Source organism: Homo sapiens, chromosome 5 (assembly GCF_000001405.40).
Source record: "Homo sapiens chromosome 5, GRCh38.p14 Primary Assembly".
Classification (NCBI taxonomy): Eukaryota; Metazoa; Chordata; class Mammalia; order Primates; family Hominidae; genus Homo; species Homo sapiens.
Window position 1 is genome coordinate 147,615,288 of NC_000005.10, and position 21,001 is coordinate 147,636,288.

At 38.5% G+C, this 21,001-nt stretch overlaps 1 protein-coding gene and 1 long non-coding RNA gene across 8 annotated transcripts in view; one reads left to right on the forward strand and one right to left on the reverse strand.

Annotated features, from left to right (window-relative positions):
- JAKMIP2-AS1 (JAKMIP2 antisense RNA 1) overlaps positions 1–21,001 on the forward strand; it is a 102,016-nt gene that overhangs the window by 55,294 nt on the left and 25,721 nt on the right. The window lies entirely within an intron of this gene.
- Positions 1–21,001, reverse strand: part of JAKMIP2 (janus kinase and microtubule interacting protein 2) — a 197,291-nt gene that overhangs the window by 29,850 nt on the left and 146,440 nt on the right. For 4 of the 7 annotated variants that reach the window (NM_001282282.2, NM_014790.5, NM_001270941.2 and 1 more), the window contains 8 exons: positions 20,935–20,997; positions 17,393–17,491; positions 16,126–16,224; positions 14,406–14,459; positions 13,464–13,529; positions 8,334–8,402; positions 5,379–5,456; positions 2,624–2,827 (listed from right to left, as the gene is read on the reverse strand). In NM_001282282.2, coding sequence (NP_001269211.1) covers positions 2,624–2,827; positions 5,379–5,456; positions 8,334–8,402; positions 13,464–13,529; positions 14,406–14,459; positions 16,126–16,224; positions 17,393–17,491; positions 20,935–20,997 — 732 coding nt within the window. The remainder of the gene's footprint in view (positions 1–2,623; positions 2,828–5,378; positions 5,457–8,333; positions 8,403–13,463; positions 13,530–14,405; positions 14,460–16,125; positions 16,225–17,392; positions 17,492–20,934; positions 20,998–21,001) is intronic. The other 3 variants (XM_047417951.1, NM_001270934.2, XM_047417950.1) reach the window with 1 other exon arrangement.

The window sequence follows — 21,001 nt, forward strand, 5'->3', positions numbered from 1 at the left end:
TTGGATCTTAAACTGGGACTGGAAAAATGAGAACACTTGGATCAATGCAATGGAAACTAATGGACACTTTAGGATGAGCAATTATGCAACAAGGGCTTAGAGGTGGAAAATCACAGCACAAGTGGGACCAGGATGTTTTGCATGAGTGGAGAGGGAAGTATGCTCTGGGGTTGGGTCAAATCTGGTTTTGGAGGGCGGGGTAGTCAGCTACTGAAGGACCTGAAGAGACCTGCGTAAGACTCTACTCAACTGGAAATTGGATCATGGAGGCTTTGAGGCAAGAATGTACCATGAGGAAAAATGAGAAGAATCTGTGATGAGATGTGTGTTGGATTGAAAAGGGGAGAGCTAGAACTAGGTCCTCATGGCACCTGCATGTACTTTTAAAAATGCTATTTATTATGATATATCATAATTATTTTTCTTTGTGTTGATCATTTTATAACCATCTATGGGTCCTTCGTTTTGTGAAGGCAGGGTCCACGGTGAATTCTCTGTCTAGCACAGTACTTAGCACCTAGGAAAAACATTTAAAAGTTTGACTGAATAAATGCATAGATGATGGAGTCAGATTCACACAGAGAACATTTGGCAGTACCTGGAAGCTGGTGGAATAATGAAAGGTCCTGCACGTGCCTGGGGTGACAAAAATGAACAAAATGGACCAGTATCAAAAACATTTCAGGGGAAATGCCAGTTGGATGTGGTGCTGTATTAATGCTTACAGGGAAAGAACAGAGAAGACTCCAGTGTTTCTAGCCGGAGTGATTTGAGATATGGTAATTCTACTGACTAAGACAGGCAGATGGGGAGAGAGAAGAGAAGTAAGGATAAGAACGCATCAGTTCACTCTTAAACATTCAAGCAGAACGGTGTAATACATGGTTAGTGATATACTTTAGAAGTTAGAGTGTATTACATAGTTATATATAAAAAATCCTGGCCAATATCTTCTGGAATAATTCTATGAAACTCAGCTATTAATTAAAAGGGAAGAAGAAGAGTAAGAAATAACTGGGAAAGGCATATTCTAATGAACATTTGTTTAGAAGATGGATGGAAAATGTCAATGAAACTCCCTGAGGTTCAGAAATGTACTATCAGCACTACTGGATAACTTAAACAAAACCAACTCTTTCAGAGGTGAAGTATCTTAGCTAAATGGTTAAAGAAATACTCAAATGGAATACAGTTTTTATCATAAATAAATTTAGATAACTATGAGTCCATCTTAAAAGTAAACACTTCAGTGTTTCCATGACATAACTCCCAATTTGTTGAAAGTAATTACATGCTATTGCAGCACAAGAAATTTGTGCAGAGTACATTTTTATCCCCTGCTAGAAGAAAAGAATGCATGAAGCAATGCAATGATGGCATAGAGTCTATTATTAAAGACTTTAAGAAGTCTTTCCATGGGTCAAAACTCAAACTTTTGTGATGGAATCTGAAGGGGCATTAATAGGAACATGTAGGTATTTATCATTTCTGGGACACGTGGCTTCAGAATTCTCCACCTACTTGGGTAATCTATTAGCCTATAAAATCCACAAAGCTCCTGCCTGCATCTGAAGTGTGCTAAGTGTCATGTCCCCCATGAATTGTTTTTATTTGCCTCATAAAAGAACCCCTGCCTCTTTTCCACTTACCTTGATTGCTGATGACCACACGATTCTTACCGCCTATTCATACCATCTGAATTTTGTACCAGTTGTTTCTTATAGCTTCTGAGGATTGAATACTATAACCTGACACTTTCAATGCTGGAATCCTTATTGAATCTGTATTTTGACCAGGACCTCAGCCCTCAACTGTCAGGCTATGGCATGAATAAAGAGTTACAATTAAAAATTTTTGCTGGAAATTAGTAGTGGGTGCCTATTTTGGACCTTGCTGATGAATCACATAAGTCATGGATGACGGTACAATACAGTGGTTAGACACACTGACCTTGGAGTTCAGCAGACCTAGGCTGTCATCCTGACTGTTGCTTACCATCTGTGTTATCTTGGGCAAATCACTTAAGCATTCTTATCTACAGTATTGTTATCTCCAAAATTGAGATAATAAAAATACTTACCTCATAGGGCTATTATGAAGATTAAATGAAATGATGTAAGTAGAGTCCTTAGTTTAGTTACTGACATAAAGCAAATGTCAGTAAGTAAACAGCAGCTGCCAGGCTTTGTTGGTGGTGATGTTTGTAATGTGAACGGTCCTTGCTCTCTTTTACACTATTCGGATTATTATCAGGCTTGTTTACGGACTGGAGTGAGCAATACATGGGAAGCACTATTTTTGCCCTGGAGAGTGTCCTGCTTCCCTGCATAAGGCAGATAATCAGACACCATGAAATTCAAAGGGTATTTCATGAAAACGTAGTTCTAAAAATAGTAGCAGTATTCAGTCCTTCTGAAATGCCAATTTTCTCAAGATTGAATTATTATAAAACTGTCATTTTTGTATGTGCATGAAGGTAGAAAACAATGGTTATTTATTTTACTCTCTGAAAATAACTTGTATCTCCTGGGCTTCTCCGTACCCATACTCAATACCGTGTACCTAGTACTAAGTTCCATTTGCTAGTACTAACCCTACGCAGAGGCAGTGACTCAGTCCTCACCTGATGGGCTTGCTGTAAGAGCTCCATTCTCTCCTGAAGAATCTGACAGTCATACTCTCTGCTCTTCCTCAGCATTTGCCGCCGTAACTTTTCTACTGCCGTCCTCAGCTCCTCTTGCTGTTTTTCACTTAATAATTCACCAAACTTGATAACAGTTTCTTGCTGTAGAGCATTGTACAAAGTAGCTTCTAGTTCCTGGATTCTCTGGCAAATAGAATTAGAAAAGTCTAACTTTGGAACTTGGCATTGATATCTGGTGTGGGAGTGTATGCTATGTATGTATATGTATATGGCTGCCAACTTTAGGCTTATAGGATCTTAGCAAGAAAATAATTTTAAAACTTCTCTAGCCTAATTACACTTCTGAAAATCTCCTTTTATGAGATTCCATAAGGGTCATCTAGCCAATTCATGAACTTCTCTAGTGAGGGAACATTTGTTCTTTCTTGGGACCCTGTCCATTTTATATACTTTTCCTAACTGTAGTTCCTATCCTAAAGTGTAGCTGAGAATAAGTGTGTTCTCACTTCTACTTGACAGCTCTGGCCAGGCACGGTGGCTCACACCTGTAATCCCAGCACTTTGGGAGCCCGAGGCAGGCGGATCATCTGAGGTCAGGAGTTCGAGACCAGCCTGGCCAATGTGGTGAAACCCCATTTCTACTAAAAATATAAAAAATTAGGTGGGCGTGGTGGTGCGCACCTGTAATCCCAGCTACTCTGGAGGCTGAGACAGAAGAATCACTGGAACCCGAGAGGCGGAAGTTGCAGTGAGCCGAGATCACGCATTGCACTCTGGTCTGTGCAACAAGAGTGAAACTCCATCTCAAAACAACAGCAACAAAAAACAAACAAACAAAAAACAACAAGACAGCTCTTCATACATTTAAAGACATCTACCACGGTGGCCATACTTCTGGAAATAAATAGTCTAAGTTAGAACAAAATACTGCCCCCGTTTTATTAATACATGACAAACCTCTGGTACTTGAAGATGGCTTTATGGTCGCCATATTTTTTCTTGAAATAAAATTGAGAAATAAAATCCAAAAAATGACCTAAAGTTTTGGAATTGGTCTGTTTTTAAGTTCTCTGAGATTTATGGCTGCTCTCATTATAATATTTCTCTGAGTCTTTCTTTTGTAGATGAAGGATGCACTGCCTTCATCTTTTTCTTTCTTTTTTTGATATGCTTCAGATAACAGTTGCTAAAATCTACAATCTTATCCCTTCTAAGTTTGACAGAAGTGACCAGACATGCTTTGGTGAGAAATATTTTCCTAGCTCTTGTCCTGGGCTAAGCAGGTCTCATCTTTTTAAGGATAAATATGGTTTTCTGAATGAGTACTCAGTAGTCTCGGGACCCACATAAACACACAACTTAATTTCGTATAGGTAGAAGAGGCAAGGGTGAAAGGTAGAAGTGAAGCAAAACTCACTTCCTTCTCTGTCTCTAATTAGCATCAAATACCCATTCTCTTCTTTCCCCATCAAACAAGCTCAGAATCTCTTACTCATTTTGGAATGCAAAGACAAGTTCATCTTTGTTACAAGCAGGGACTAAGTGCTTCACTCTTTCCCCAAAAGTGACTCAAGCTGCTTCCAGGAAAGCATTATAAAAACCTCTGCTAGGAATTCTTTGAAATGTTCCTTTAACTTGCTCTTTTTCTTTTGATTCATAATTGTGAATTAATGGAGGGTGGAGCATAAGGAGAGAAGAAATGTGAGCTGTAGTTCATTATGAAGAAGCATGCAATAGGAATTTGGTAGAGGGGAATGGATCACATGTGCTCCTTAATCAGCATAATCTTCTGTGGGAGACAAAAAGGCACAGCCCATTTACCATGGAAGCCTCAGTTACTGTGGCTGGATTATAGTAGGCCACAGGATCTGGAGTCAGATCTACACACTACCTATTTATCAACTTGGGCAAAGTTCTTATATTCTCTAAATCTTACTATCCTCGTATGTAAGATATGAATAATAATCTTACCTATACCTCACAGAGTTGTTGTAAGAGATAAATGAATTAAAAATATGCATAACAAACATTAAACACATTATTCCACCACTAGATCAGACTCCCAAATGACTGGATTTGGTTTAATAAAATTTCTCTTTAATCTACACTGCCATCCAAACTGTTCTTCATTTAATATTATCCAACAACATATATTTAATTGTTTTTGTTTTATTTTGTTTTGAGACAGGATCTTGCTCTGCTGCCCAGGCTGGAGTACAGTGGCACGATCACAACTCACTGAAGCCTTGACCTCCCAGGCTCAATGAATCCTCCCTCCTCAGCCTCCTTAGTGGCTAGTACTACAAAGTGCATGTCACCATGATTGGCTAATTTTTGTATTTTGTATTTTTATTTTTATTTTTTGGAGATACAAGGTTTCACCATGTTGCTCACGCTGGTCTTGAATTCCTGGGCTCAAGGGATCTGCCCACCTTGGTTTCCCAAAAGTGCTGGGATTACATGCATGAGGCACCACGTCTGGCCTTTTAATTGTTAAAAAATGAAGTATAATTAAATATTTATTAGGTATTATAAGAATATCTTATAAGAATCTTAGAATAAGTAAAGAGCTAGGAATGTATTTGTTATAAAATTAGATCTGAAAACCAGTAAATGAATGAACTGCATGTCGTGATCTATTCAAGTACATAGCATGGAAAATTAAAAAGGATACTTAATTCCACAGTGCATAACTGTAAATACTGCGGGTGTCTCTATCACTTGTTGTACCTACCATATATGCTTGGTCAAGAGCTTGTTTTCTGTAGTCTAGTTCTTCCTCCAGATAGCCTTTTATTTTGCAGAACTGTTCCTATAACAAAGGGCCATATTGATAGAGTCAGCTTAGTTAACTAGAAAGTGACGTACAAATGGTATTGATTAATGTTTCCTCTAATTCTACCATAAGACAAATCACTAGTATTTGTAGAGTCATAAATTTTGTCTGTTAGGGAAATAGTTCAACTCTCATAGTCTCACACAGGAATGTGAAAATCAATGGAAAGCAGCATAAAAGATATAATGAAAAATCCACATAGAATGCTCTAAAAGATTTTTAATCTGAGAGCACGTGATTAAGTATAGATTTTGACTAGTGTTTAATAATAATAAGCCTATCTATGTAAAAGTATTATGATAATATATTTTTGTAAGAATGTGATAAAATGTAACATAGCTGGGTTGCATAATCAACAAGTTTAACTGATTCAAATTCATCTGTGTACAACTAGCAAACATAAGGACAAAAATAGCAACTTAAAGAGTGGGAGTGATTCCACCCACACTGCTGCTTAATGAGTGGGTGTCTGCTTTTGCCACAAAGCCAGTGTGAGCTGGGAAAAGTCAATCTGATGTTCCCTCTCTTGTTCTCAGTTTCTGTGTGCTTCTCATATTATCAGCATCTTGCCATTAGCACTTAAAACTATATTTTGGGTACAACATAGTCCCAAGCACAAGTCAATTGTTTCTTTGGGTGTTTAACTGAAGGAACAAAGACTTCTTCCAACTCTGAAGAAAAACTCAATGGTGTTGACTTTTGAGAGATCGTGTATCTGTATGGAGTAATTTTGCTGTTGACTTTGCTGGTGACTGCTGAATTCCAGTACCTAGAACAGTGCCTGATACAGACTAATTGCTTAATTAATATTTGTGTTTTTAAAGAGCTTTCAAGGGTAATTTTGAAGAGAAATTGTTCATTTGGAAAGCTTTCTTGGCCAAATATAAAAATAAAATAAAATAACAAACTGTTCTTTTTACATGCTTTGACATTGGAGCCTAACCTCTTAGTAAAATGTGAGCACTGTATAAAATATAAGCAAATTATAAGCTATAATGTGCCACACAAATGCAAGTTGTTTTTATAGGATTCCCTCATCCAATAGGAATCCACGACGTTTTCTAGTTATAATGATAACATTAATCATAATCTTGTTATAAATTTCTGTTTTTTTTTTGAGACAGAGCTTCGCTCTTGTTGCCCAGGCTGGAGTGCAATGGCGCGATCTCGGCTCACTGCAAACTCCGCCTCCTGGGTTCAAGCGATTCTGCTGCCTCAGCTTCCCGAGTAGCTGGGATTACAGGCATGTGCCACCGCGCCCGGCTAATTTTGTAGTTTTAGTAGAGATGGGGTTTCTCCATGTTGGTCAGGCTGGTCTCGAACTCCTGACCTCAGGTAATCTGCCTGCCTCGGCCTCCCAAAGTTCTGGGATTATAGGCATGAGCCACTGTGCCCAGACGAATCTTGTTATAAATTTCTATGCATTGCTGTAAGTTAATAATAACCAATTTTTAGACTTGGTGAGTAAAAAGAAACTTTTAAAATTGTGGTAAAATGCACATAACATTTACAACCTTACTCATTTTTAATTCATTTTTGAGTGTATAGTTCAGTAGTACAAAGTATATTCACATTGTTATCAACCAATGTACAGAATTTTTCATGCTGCAAAACTGAAACTATACCCATTATACAACAGCTCTATGTTTCCCCTTCTCACCTTCTGGCAACCACAGTCTACTGTCTGTTTCTAAGTTGGATTACTCTAGCACCTCACATGAGTGGATTCATATAGTATTTACAATTCTGTGAATAGCTTATTTCACTTAACGTAGTGTCCTGAAAGTACATCCATATTGTAACTTGTATCAGAACTTCCTTCCTTTTGAAGGCTAAATAATATTCCATGATATGTATACACCACCTTTTGTTTATCTGTTCATCCATTGATGGACATTTGGGTTACTTCTACCTTTTGGCTATTGTGAATAATGCTGCTATGAACATGGGTGTATAAATATCTCTTCCAGACTCTGGTTTCAATTCTTTTGGATACACACCCAGAAGTGGTATTGCTGAATCACATAGTAATTCTATTTTGATTTTTTTGAGCAACCACCATACTTTTTTTCATAGTGGCTGTACCAGTTTTACATTCCCATCAATAGTAAAGAAGGGTTTCAATTTCCCCTTATCTTTGCCAACACTTGTTTTATCTTTTTGGTTGTGGGAACACAGGGTCTTGCTCTGTTGCCCAGGCTGGAATGCAGTGGTACAAAAATAGCTCACTGTAGCCTCCACCTCCTGGGCTCAAATGATCCTCTTGCCTCAGCCCCCTGAGTAGCTGGGACCACAGGCACGTACCACTATGCCCACTAATTATTTTTTGTAGAGATGGGTTCTCACTATGTTGTCCAGGCTGGTCTCCAACTCTTGCGCTCAAGCACACTTCCTGCCTTAACTTCCCAAATTGCTAGGACAGGTGTGAGCCACTGCACTAGGTCTTTTGTTCTACTCTTTTTTTTTTTTTTTGATAAGAGTTATTCTAATGGATGTAAGGTGGCTTAGGGATTTTTAAAATCAGAGTTACACCCTCCATTTCTGTAATTTTTCCTTGCTAATTAAATAAAGTGGAAAAATTATTTAGCCTAAGAAAGAAAACATAAGAAAACTCAATTTTCTTCGGCATTAGTTTTGGATATTTTCCAAAAACTAACATTTTTTGGGGGGAGAATATAGCCTGAAATTGTTTGGTACTTCTGGTAATTTTTTTTCCATCTTCTGTACATAAAATAATAATGGAAAGATGACAAACTTTCATCAGTGCCAGATAAAACTGGTAGAGGCAACTTTAATTTTCCATTTGCCTTGTAAGTTTTTCTTAATTTTTACAATATCTCATCTTGTACTTACCATGTCACTTTCCAATTCCATCATTTTCTGGTGTAGGGCAGCCTCAGCTCCTTCAATCTGCTGGATCCACTAAGGGGTTAACAAGACAAAAGTGTTTGACATGGCTGCTTGATATGGTGTATATCTGTGTGCCCCCATGAGGTGCTCCGTCTCCTCCCCTTATATCTCAGGAAGAAGACTGAGAACTGAAGCAAAAACAACACCTTTTTTTGCTTGTTTGTTTGTTTTGTTTTTGAAACGGAATCTCGCTCCGTTGCCCAGGCTGGAGTGCAGTGACGTTATCTCGGCTCCTGCAACCTCCGCCTCCTGCTTTCAAGCAATTCTCTGCCTCAGCCTCCCGAGTAGCTGGGATTACAGGCGCCTGCCACCACGCCTGGCTAATTTTTGTATTTTTAGTAGAGACGGGGTTTCACCATCTTGGCCAGGCTGGTCTTGAACTCTTGACCTCATGATCCACCTGCCTCAGCCTCCCAAAGTGCTGTGATTATAGGTGCGAGCCACCGTGCCTGACCCACATTTTTATCTCATAGTTCAGAAACAAGACTACAGTCTTCCTTGTATTCATTCATTCACCCATTCAGCAAATGCATTTATGGATGACTAGCAAGTGTCAGGTGCTGTACCAGGTCCTAGGGCTGCAGTGGTGAACCAGATCAACAAGACTCCTGCCCTTATTGGAGAACACCATAGGAGGCTTTCTTGTGAGTGATAATTGCACTGGGGTCCAAAGAATGGGTGAGAGATGACTGGGAAAAAATGAAGAGGAAGTTCCAAGTGGAAGGGACAACATGTCCAATAGCTCTATTGTTGGAGGAAGCAGGATGAGAGAAAGAAGGCCAGGTACACTGGAGAATTGGGACAACGGTAATTTTTCAGTATATAAAACTGATTACAGCAAAGTGGGGAAGAATTATTTTTGTGAAGTGGAGGTGTTCTAAATCACATAAAAACTTATCTTTCCCAGTACTCAGAATATATGATATTTATGTTAGCATTGATAAACACTCTGAATGCAGACTTTGAATAATGTGACCCTACCATATACAGGTTTTTATAGAACAAATTATTATAATGAATCTCTAGCAAGTTAAATGTCAGCTTATATTTTAGGGAAGCAATTGGGCATAATAATTAAGTGGGTTCTGAAGACAGACTACCTTGGCCGTAATTTCAATTCCAGCTTTTCATGGGTGGGTGGCATGGAAAGGTTACCTGATTTCTCTAAGTCTCAAGTTTCTTGTCTGTCAAATGGGATTAACAATAAGTAAAGATTAAGGAAGTAAAAAACATGAGGCAGTATCCATTGTGTATTGGATGTACTAGTGGTATCTCACTACAAGGTACTATTTATTTATTTATTTATTTATTATTATTTTTTGAGACAAAGTTTCACTCTGTCACCCAGGCTGGAGTGCAATGGCACGATCTTGGCTCACTGCAACCTCCGCCTCCAGGTTCAAGCGATTCTCCAGCCTCAGCCTCCCAAGTAGCTGGGATTATAGGTGCACGCCTCCATGCCTGGCTAAGTTTTTGTATTTTTAGTAGAGACGGGGTTTCACCGTGTTCCCCAGGCTGGTCTTGAACTCCTGAGCTCAGGCAATCCAGCCACCTCGACCTCCCAAAGTGCTAGGATTACAGGCGTGAGCCACTGCGCCCAGCCCCAGATAGTTCTTTCTAGGTTACCTGTGATAAATTATGCAGCACAGCGAGACTTTTATACACAACAGCCTTGATACTTACAAGGGGATACCATGTTCAACCACTCCTTGGCTGTGGGGAACATGGTGAAAGAAAAGAGGCATGCCGAGACTGGAGAGGTGCTAAGTTCTTTGCACATACACATGGTTTCCCCTTGAAACAAATTTCTGTCAATCATGGGTTTTGTGTAAATAGACTCATATTGCAATTGTACCCATCCAAAACCTAAAATCCTTCATCTTGCTTGCTGTCCATTTGTTATCAAGAAACATATTTTTTAAAATCATGTTTTTAAGAGTACTGTGAACTAAAGTCATTATATCATGAGCATTAGATATAGATTTGTGTGTTGGTTGCTGTTCCTTCCTACTTGTGTAATCCAGGACAAGTTACTGAATATCCCAAGCCTCAGTTTCCTCATGTATAAAATAAAAACAATGGTACCCCAATGTACATTATTTGGGCGGTGGATACACTAACAGCCAAGACTTCACCACTACACCATGTATCCATGTAATAAAAGTATACCTGTACTCCGTAAATTTATACAAATTAAAAAATAGTGACAGCTGTAGAATGGTTGTAAGGAACAGTACATAAGTACATAATGTACTTATGGCATTGAGTGCAGTATCCAGCCCCTAATATGTTCTCACTCAAGGTCACTGCCATTATTTTTAATACAAAGTGACAACTGGGTTTGCTTGTTGGAATTTTGTCTAGGCTCAAATTCTGGCTAAAGATCATACTCCCATATAACAGAGTGCTATTCAAATTGGTAGTCTCAAGACATTCATTGTTGTTGTTTAGAATTACTTGGATGTAGAAACTTTTATCTGTGAATCCCACAGACAAGAGATAAATTTAATCTGTGCTTTGCAAAAGTCTGCACAAAAGGCAGCTGAACAGACCATGAGCACTTTAGGGAAGGCTTGTGTCTTGTTCATCTGGTTCCTAGCTTTCTACCACAGTGCTAAGCACAGAGTCATCACCCTGTATTTGTTCAACTGGTCCCTATACCTTTCTTGCAAAAAAAGTAAGCAGAGGCATGGGCTAATTTGCCTCAGCTCCGACAGCCCAGCTCCCATGGGGTCTGCAAAGCCTATTTCCCACAGGAGGAGGAGTTTGGTGCAAGACGTAAGATCATGGGCTTTAGAACCAGACTCCTTGGGTGTGAATCCTGACTCCATCAACTTCAGGCTGTGTGACCTTAGGCAGTTATCTACCTTTTTTGTGCTTCAGATTCCTTGTGTGAAATAAAGGTCACACTAGTACCTAGTCTCCAGCAGTTAGAAAGTGCCTATCTCAAAAGGAGCACTGCGCAAGTCTTGGTTCTGATAAGCACAGTTGTTGGTTCTGATAAGTACAGTTGTACTGCACCCACACAGGGCAGGGAGCAGAAGATATTTCTCCCATCAGTCTCAGTAAATGTGAGACACACAAGGCTGTATTTCCTTTCTTTCACCTCCTCAATCCTCATCTTCCATAGAATCAGCCCATGTTTTGTTTGTAGCCCTAAACCCAGGCGATTTTTTCTTGCAGTAAAGAATTGCAGCCCTTCATGATTCCAGCTGAATAAGGCTCTCTTGCTATCATTGCCAGATGATAGCAGCACTGGAGGCACAGACTGTGTTTTTTTCATCTTTGTGTTGTCACTGAAATGGTGTCTTATGAGCATTCACAAATTCACACCTTTGCTCCTTCAGTTAACATTTATTCATGACTTACTACATGTGCTGGACTAGTGTGAAAAGCTAGGGCAAAAAACAGGGGGTGGGGAGTGGAGAGACACAACTATTTGTCCTCATGGGCCTTAGAGTCTAGTGGTAGTTAGATGGGGCCATATGACAAATGCAAATGGACAGTGTAATGCAATTGTCAAAAGCCATGGGAGCAGTAGCACAGGCCACTGTGGGAACATAGAGCAGGAACACCTAAGGGGGCTTGGATGAACAGGCAGGCCTCCTCATTATGGGGAAGTCTGATGCTCAAGATTTAGCCAGGCAGAGGTAGAAAGGCAAGATGGGACTATCTTCCAGGTAAAAAGATCAGTGTAAAGGACCAAGAGTGGAGAATGGAGAGAGAAAGAGAGAGAGAATGGAGGGAGAGAAGGGAGAGGAGACACTAGAGAAATAGGTAGATAAGACTCAAATCCCAGAGGGTCTGTATGCCAAATTCTAAATTTGGACCTTCTGTTAGAGATAATGAGGCATTTGCTGGGGAGGGATCAGAGAAAGTGATTAGGTCTGTAATTAAACTGTGTAGGAAGTAAGTTTTTTTAAAAGAAAAAATTCCAGCTTTCATTTTATTTCACATGTAAATACTTCAATGTGTATCTCTAACAGATAAAGCCTTTCTGTAAAAAAAAAAAAAAAAAAAAAAAAAACCCACAAGGTTATTGGTACACTTTACAAAATTAACATTAATTACTTTTGTCATCTGATACCCAGTCCACATTAAATTTCTCCAGTTGTCAACAAAATGTCCTTTTTAAAAAACACCTGGTTAAGTGTCTTTTTATTTCATAGCTATAGTTCTTTGTTCTCCCTGTTTTTTATTTCATTCTTTTGTTTGAGTAACTTAACTGTTATTTGGCCCGTAGAATTCCCTCATTTCAGATTGGAGAGAGCTGATTGCTTGCTCTCATTTTATCCAACCATGTGCACATGACTCTCAAGTATTTACTGGTACTTTTTTTTTTTTTTTAAAGGAGATGGAGTCTCACTATGTTGCCTAGGCTGAAGTACAGTGGTTACTCACAGGCATGATCATAGTACACTATAGCCCCAAATTCTTGGGCTCAAGTGAGCCTCCTCCCTCAGCCTCCAAAGTAGCTAGGACTATAGGTACATACCATCCAGCCAGGCTTTATGCATTGATTCATGAGGTACTCTGAATACACCAATTTATCTGGCCATTTACCAGGTTTAGACACAAGGTGGAGCCAGAGCTCAGTCAGTGTTGATTTTCTCCTGACAGTCTCTATGTCGGACTTTCTGAATGAGAAGGCAATGAGCCCCTACTAAGCCACAGGATCAGTTGGGAGCAATGGTAGGTACACACCCCAGGATAAGTCTATGATAAGAGCAATGCTCCAGTTTATCATCGCCCCGCAGAATTCTTCTTTGTGGTTTCCCAGCTTGGTAGGGATTGTGTAAATAATGTAATCTAGAAGGTTTTCTGTTTTTAAAAAATTATATATATTTTTAAGGAACTTCAAAGCAAAAATTAGCCACCCATCCCAAATCAGTGTATAGACTTTTCGTTTGGGTGTTCTCATTCTATCTGGGTTGTACTACCCTTAAAAATAAAATGTGTATTAGGTATTCACACACAGTCATGTGCAGAGGGAATGTCCTTCACACCCTAGTCTGCTCGTTCAGTATTAAGCCAGACACCGAGATGATTTGAAATGTTTGTACGGCTCATTACCTTCTCTGCCAGGGACAGCACAGTGCTGGCCTGAATTATGGCCACTTGTTCTTCATTTCTTAAATTCTGTAAAAAATAAGAAAGGCCGTCAGCTGAACATACTGACATTATTTACCCCAAAGAAAATACTGTCTGACTGACTGCTACAGAGCATTCTGTATAAGCCTGTATAGAAACTTAACAAATTCCTATTCTGTTTAGTAATAATTCTGAACAAAGAGTTAATCAAAACCCGGAAGAAGTATATTAAACGTGATTTTTTAAATATCTCCTTAACACCGATTTGATTTTGTGTCACTGGAGGCATACTTTATTAATAGTCATGTTATGAGAAAAACAGAAACCAAAATGGAATAAAAAACAGTCTCTTCATAGAAGTTTTGATGTAATTTTACTAATTCTGTTCTCTCCTTTGATAATTTTTCAAGGGAAAAACGGTGATTCTTTCAACCTACAAGCACCAATCACATAGTATCACAATAAATGGTCCTCCCACTGAATTAATGTGCCTTGACCCTGTCTGGAAGATGTTTTCGGAAAGAAAATGCATTATAGCCTCCTGGTCCATTTTTATGGCACTGCCAACAACCCTAGTATTTAGCAGCCTTTGCAAATGCGTGACTGATTAATTTCACACTGGATGCCTTTGAGCTAGAGTCAGACAATAATTAGCTTTACTTATTGGAGATGTGGTCGACATTCAAACCTGAAACCTGCCCGCAAAAAGCACTTTACCAGGTCTCATTTCTGCTACTACCTTCCAGAGATCCTTACAACCCCTTAGCCAAGTTGTTTGATAAATTGTATATTCTTCCCAAGGAGCAACATCCTTAAGTGAAATGGCATCTCACTTGCTCTTACTTTACACATGATGCATTGTTAAGTATCTCTTGCCTCTGTTTAGGCAAATTCATATCTATACTAAATCAATTCTTTACTTACCCCATTATCACCCAAGATATCAAGCTGCTTTATGAGATCAGGGATGTTCACATCCTGCAAAATCAAGCAGAAACTCATGTCAAAGACAAATGTGGCCTCCTATTCCATCAGTGCCTGAACATGAAGTTAGAGGAAGACATTTTAGGGCCTGAACTTCCTTGGGATGTTTTCAATCTGGCACACCTAGTTTTAAGTTTCAATTTTGCTTCTTACATGCTGTGTGAACTTGGGTCAGGTACTTAACAGATCATTCTTAATTTTGCTAGTTGCAAAATGGAGATAATAAATTCCTACTTCATAGGCTGAGCTGATCTTCAGGATAAACAGACTGTGTATGAAAGAGTCTAGCATGTAGTAAAAGACTTGGAATATTCTCATTAACTTTCTTCTCATGACTGCCAAATCTTTTTTTTTTCAATTGTGATAGGCTTTCAGGTATAAAAAAGTAATAGGTAATAAATATAAAGAATCAACCAATTTTATTCTAATTAGCAAAATTCTGACCTGATTGAATTTTGACTGCCATGTAGAAAACTATAGTGCAGTACCATTTTTTTAAAGGTGGTTAGCATTAATTTCATCTATCTTATTTTTACCCTGTTCCTTGAGTCAGTTTGAAGCAGCTGAACTCCATTCGAAAGAGTTCATTGGATTAGGTTGTTTGTGATTTATCTGAGAAAAAATGCATCGAAGGAAAAGGCAAAGTAAATTCTTTTCATTTAATTACAGTGAAATCCAAAAATTGCTTTGGTTGACAAATTACCATGCCACCCAGGAAGGCCAGAAGTTTAAACACCAGGACAATGGTTTAAGATGGAAGGCAAGGAAACACAATATTACCACCAAAGTTTTCTCCACTTTTTACCGTATTAGTACTATGTTCTCCTCTTTCTCATGTTCAAACAGCAGTATAGTAGAGCCCTACCACCAGGAAAGGGAAAGTCTAGCTCAATCTCATAAGTACAGAGAAGGCAACTGAAGCAAGTATATTTGGCAGCTCAGAGTGGGAGCAGGAAGGGCCATGCAGAAGGTAAGGAGAGACCAGGAATAGCAGGCAGCATCCCAGCTTTACCCCAGGAACAGATATTCACAATGTGATTTCACTGAAGGACAATATATTTCCCCGGGGGAAGAGCTACCTCAATTCAACTCTAATACTTAAAATATATCCAGTAGCACTAAAAAGATAATTATATTCTATTTAATATGCAACCTGTTATAAACCCTAAGCCCTTCCAAAAGAGGAATCCTCCCTAAATTAAACACATCAAAAGAGATGTTGGACTAGATGACTTCAAACCTTTTCTAACTCTGCAATTCCATAATTATGAATTCCATAGCACCTAGAATGGCTCAACAAAGGGACTCAAACTTTTCTATCTGGCAGACTTGAAATATATTTCTTGAAGTATTAAATCGAATTCACATTTCTCCCAGGTAATTAAGGCTAATTTTGATGCAGCGTCTTTCTTCATATGACTCTGTTCTAAATAATCATGGATGCCTCTGTTTCTTCTGTTATCATTTGTATATCTGTCACACATTAAAAAACATTCTGTTAATTTTCTAGTAGAAGTGACTATTTTCAATTCCTACATAGTTTGTATCAAAATGATGACATCCAGTGACTGAAAGACAAAATAGTCGTAAGTAACCTCCCCTTTTCCAATTCCCAGTTTTTCTAATTTCTACAAACATAAAAAATGAAATATCTGCCTACCTTAACACCTTCTTTCATACAGTAGATCTGTAGAGCACTCACACCATCTGAGAATGGGTGAATTTGGAGATTAAATGGAGGGGATCGTCTCTCTCTCTCCTTGAAACACAGTGAAGAATATATGGAAATTAAAAACAAAACTGATTAATTAAACACTAAACCAGTGGTCTCTTTATGCTATTTCAGCAGTTTATTACTGTCATTTGGCAAAAAGAAAAAAATTCAATCTCAAGATGTTCATGATTAAATGTGACGGAAAAAGCTGACTAGTCAACTAAGAGATTGAGAAGAAGAATTTATAGATGGTGTCATCCATTCTTCCAAATTTTTTGATCAGGGAAATGCAGGAAGTGGAGCTCCAGTTTAAACTGTATGAATATTTAGAGCTTTCAAATATCTCAGCGTGGTCTTGCCATGAAGTTTTATGGCCGCTAACAGCCTTTTGCATATTCAATCTATTCAAGCATTATGAGAAAGATATGTGGGCTACAAAAGAATGACTCTTCTTCACTGAAGCCTACTAACACCTAACTTTTTATCCAGACCTAATTCAAAATAGCCTAAAGAAGAACTAACTGGCAAAATAACAGAAATCAAATGGGAATTTTTCTTATACTTTATATATCAACATACACTGAACCAGATCCTAAGTCAGATTCTGCAGGATACAATCAAAATCTGATGTTTCCATGTTTTACTTGCAAAATAAAAAACAAACACCTGAAATTTGGTCAGATTAATCAAGGTATTTTCTAAGACAAGTTACCTTGCTTCTTAGTCTTTTTTTTCATAAATGCATTAGGGACTAAAACGTTTACTTATAAATTCACATTTACCTAAAAAATATTTTTTATATAGCACATTTTGAAATATAAGTATTGAAGTAACATGTTTTAATGAGTCAAAATTTAATTAAGGATGGACATGAGTATTTAAAAACAACGAATGTTGAGGATGGTTGAAATCTATTATTTAACTTATTTAAAAATTATTTATTAGTCTTGCTCATAAAAGATAGTAATGTTGAAAAGCACAGTATCTAAGTAGACAGTTTTGAGTTGCATCAGAGCTTTACCACTTACTAGTCACAGGACTTAGGCAAGTTAGTTAATCTCAGTTGCCTCCACTATATAATTTTGAGGGTGATTGTGAGGTCCAAATGAGAGTATGAATCTGAAATGCTTAATACAGCGCCTAGCTCCTCAATGTGCTCTGTGCATGTTAATCATTACGATTATTTTTATTATTATCATCATCATTTCCTTACTTCTAGCTCTAGGTTTCGAAACTCCAGCAGCTCATTCTGGTCTCTGGCGTCCTGTAGTTCTTGTTGTAACCGGTGATTTTCTGCCTCCTGTTTTTCTATCTAATAAAGTAAATCCTGAAGTTAGGTAAGCATTGAGAAAAGCACCTACAACTTTGCAAAGCATGAATAGTGTTCAGTTTACTCAGTGAATAAGTCTTCCAGACCATGAAAAAAAATCCCCAAATAGATGTGAATAAAATAAGTATTTGGCTTTGGCTTTCCTTCTAGTTATCCTTCGGTTGAGTTTTTTGAGTCACAGAGAAAAATGCCAGAAGACATCTCTGTTCCTTGGAATTAAAATCTAGGAATTCTGTGAATAGTGAATCTGAGAATACTCACTTTGCCCTTGTGATGGGTCAGAGACAGTCTACTAGAACCAAATTTAATGGTATACATAAGAGGGACTGATACTTCTCATTTCTCGAGTTATATTTGTTACAGAAATTTTTTTTAACAGCTATCATCATACACAAAACTTTGCTGAATTTCAATTACTACAGAAGAAACCAGCTCTTTAACACTGAATTCAAAAACCTTAATAATCTGATTACCACCTAGCTTTCCAGTTTTAAATATTATCACTGTCATCTCTGCACAAACACACCCACACATGATCATGCAAACACTAGAATCTAGGAACTGTGGCCTACCCAATGAACTGACTACTCCAGGAACTCTGTAGCTACTCAGCTCTGCCTGAAAATGGCTCACTTTATCTCCTTTGCTATGTGAGCAAATTCTACACTTCTTTAAACACCTTAAAGCTAAGCTCTTAAGCATTAGCACTTAAATAAGCTCTAATGTCCATAAGAGCCTTCCCTAGTCAATCCATTCAGAAGTGACACCTCTCCTTTTGTTTTCCTCTAGACTTTCTTATAGGACCTCTAGTATAACTTGAGGAAGCATGGATTTCAGTTAGCTGTGTACAAATGCACCTTCCCCTGTAGACAGGGTTCATGTCTGAGTTATCTTTGGATTTTTTTTTTTTTTTTTTGAGATGAAGTCTTGCTCTTGTCCCCGAGGCTGGAGTGCATGATCTCAGTTCACTGCAACCTCTGTCTCCTGGGTTCAAGCAATTCCCTTGCCTCAGCCTCTCTAGTAGCTGGGACTACAGGTGCCTGCCACCAGGCCTGGCTAATTTTTGTATTTTTAGTAGAGACAGGGTTTCACCACGTTGGCCAGGCTGGTCTTGAACTCCTGACTTCAGGTGATCCACCCGCCTCGGCCTCCCAATGTGCTAGGATTACAGGCGTGAGCCATTGTGCCCGGCTGTCATCTTTGGCTTTTAAGGGATCAGAAAATCTTTATGAAGTACAATGGATGTTGAGCTTCCCTTGATATTAGCTGTATAGGTGGGCATTACATACAGTAACTATTTAAAATCTTGAATTTAGAAATACAAACCAGGGCCTTTTTACCATAGCACGAATCTTACTTTCCCAAGTATTTACATTTGAAGTTACCTATTTAGGTTCATTGTCAGTTCTGCCATCCCTTTATTTTGTTTATTTATTCTTAGAAGCCTGAGCATAAAAATTCCTCCTTTAGCCCAAAAAGATTAAGACTAACGGAAATCAGATAGAAGACGTAATGGGATTTTTTTTATGATAAAGAAATATAATAACACTTATTACTGGGCATCTCTGAAACTAATAGGAAAAGAAAGATAGGGAAATAGTGAGAAATTATGTGACATTAATAAATGTAGTCGAGTTTTCTACCCTAGATATTTGTGGCCTAGTAAACTTTCAAAAGTTTGTAGAAGTTAACTTAACATTATAAAGGAGATTCTACTTCCTAGAATCTTCTACTGAATCAATGGTGGAATATTTCGAGAGATTGCTGGTTCTAGTGGTTAACGAAACAATTAGATCAGTGGTTCACAGACTGTAATTCATTCAATGCCAACAAAGTTTCTTTATAGGGTCGCTTAACCTTCCTGAAAGCACCAGTTCTCGATTTTTGAATACCTGCCCACTCTGTATATAACATATACATCATCTATACATCTATGTGATGAACACATCAGCTCTGTCTCACAGCATGCAAAGCATGAGATAGAATGTCTTCACTTTGCCAGACTAGAGGGGAGGTAGGACAAGCATCTTTTTCCTCCTTCTCATGCTTACCAGCCAGGATGTTGTGGTTAATTTTTATTACTTGTCAGGGATAAGAAATATTCATAAAAACAATTCTAAAATAATTTCTGCATAACTTTGGATTGACCTACACAATTGTTTCCCTTACACAATTGGGCTTTCAAATTCTGTTTTTGTCAAACATAATATGAGATTATTTTGTAATTTAAATTAGTCAGATGTGGTGGCACATGCCTGTAATCCCAGCTACTTGGGAGGCTGAGGCAGGAGAATCGCTTCAACCTGGGAGGCAGAGGTTGCCGTGAGCTGAGACTGTGCCATTGCACTCCACCCTGGGCAACAAGAGTAAAACTCCGTCTCAAAAAAAAAAATTATTTTGAAATCTTTCACTAGATTTGTAGAAGGTAAATATCAAAGGAAAAGCCACCTTTGAACTGAAAATGTGTTATGTTTAATTGACTCTATGTTCAGATAACCAAAATTAATTATATCTATTCAAGCCTAAGCCATGTTTTTGTTTCTTAATTTGTTGAGTAATTTCCAGGAATACTGTTTTATGTTTTAAAAACAGTATTCATCTAAAAAAAATCTTTCATTAAAAAAAAAAGAAAGACTCAAGCTTAATAAAAAGACTAAAAGTGGGAATCTAAGCCTATGCTAGGTTTCGGCATGGTCTTGGAGTCATACTCTGTCACTTCTTCTCACAAAATAACAAGTTCTATTCATAGAGGTTTCTTTGTTTTGTTTTGTTTTGTTTTTTGGAGATGGGGTTTTGCTCTTGTTGCCCGGGCTGGAGTGCAATTGCGCAATCTCAGCTCACTGCAACCTCCGCCTCTTGGGTTCAGATGATTCTCCTGTCTCAGCCTCCTAAGTATCTGGGATTACAGGCATGTGCCACCACATCTGCCTAATTTTTTGTATTTAGCAGAGACAGGGTTTCACCATGTTGGCCAGGCTGGTCTCAAACTCCTGACCTCAGGTGATCCACCCACCTCGGCCTCCCAAATTACTGGGATTACAGGCTTGAGCCACTGTGCCTGGCCCTCATAGAGGTTTTGTTGTAGATAAACAACTACACAGGATGTGCACGTGTGTGTGTGCGTGTATGTATATATATATGTACAGTATATATACAGTGTATATGGTTAGCAAATCAGGAGGTTTCAGGGATCACATCCTTTCAAGTCTGCACAATGCCCAGCGCAGAGCCATGCACACGTGCCACTTCACTGATGGTGATGGCGGTGACAGGGATGCGGTTGAGCACGCAGCCGAGGACAGAGCAGTGCCGGAAAAGCCTCCCCTTCCCCTGGCCCCTGTGCCACTCCTGAGAGCACCCCCTGCTGCTCCTGGATCTCTCATGATTTTCTCCTCTGCCCCGCTAGGGTGTTGTGCCCAACATACCTTTTCTAAAAGCTCCTGGTTTCTCTTAATGAAAAGTTGTTTATCTTCTACCCAGTGTGAATCCTGT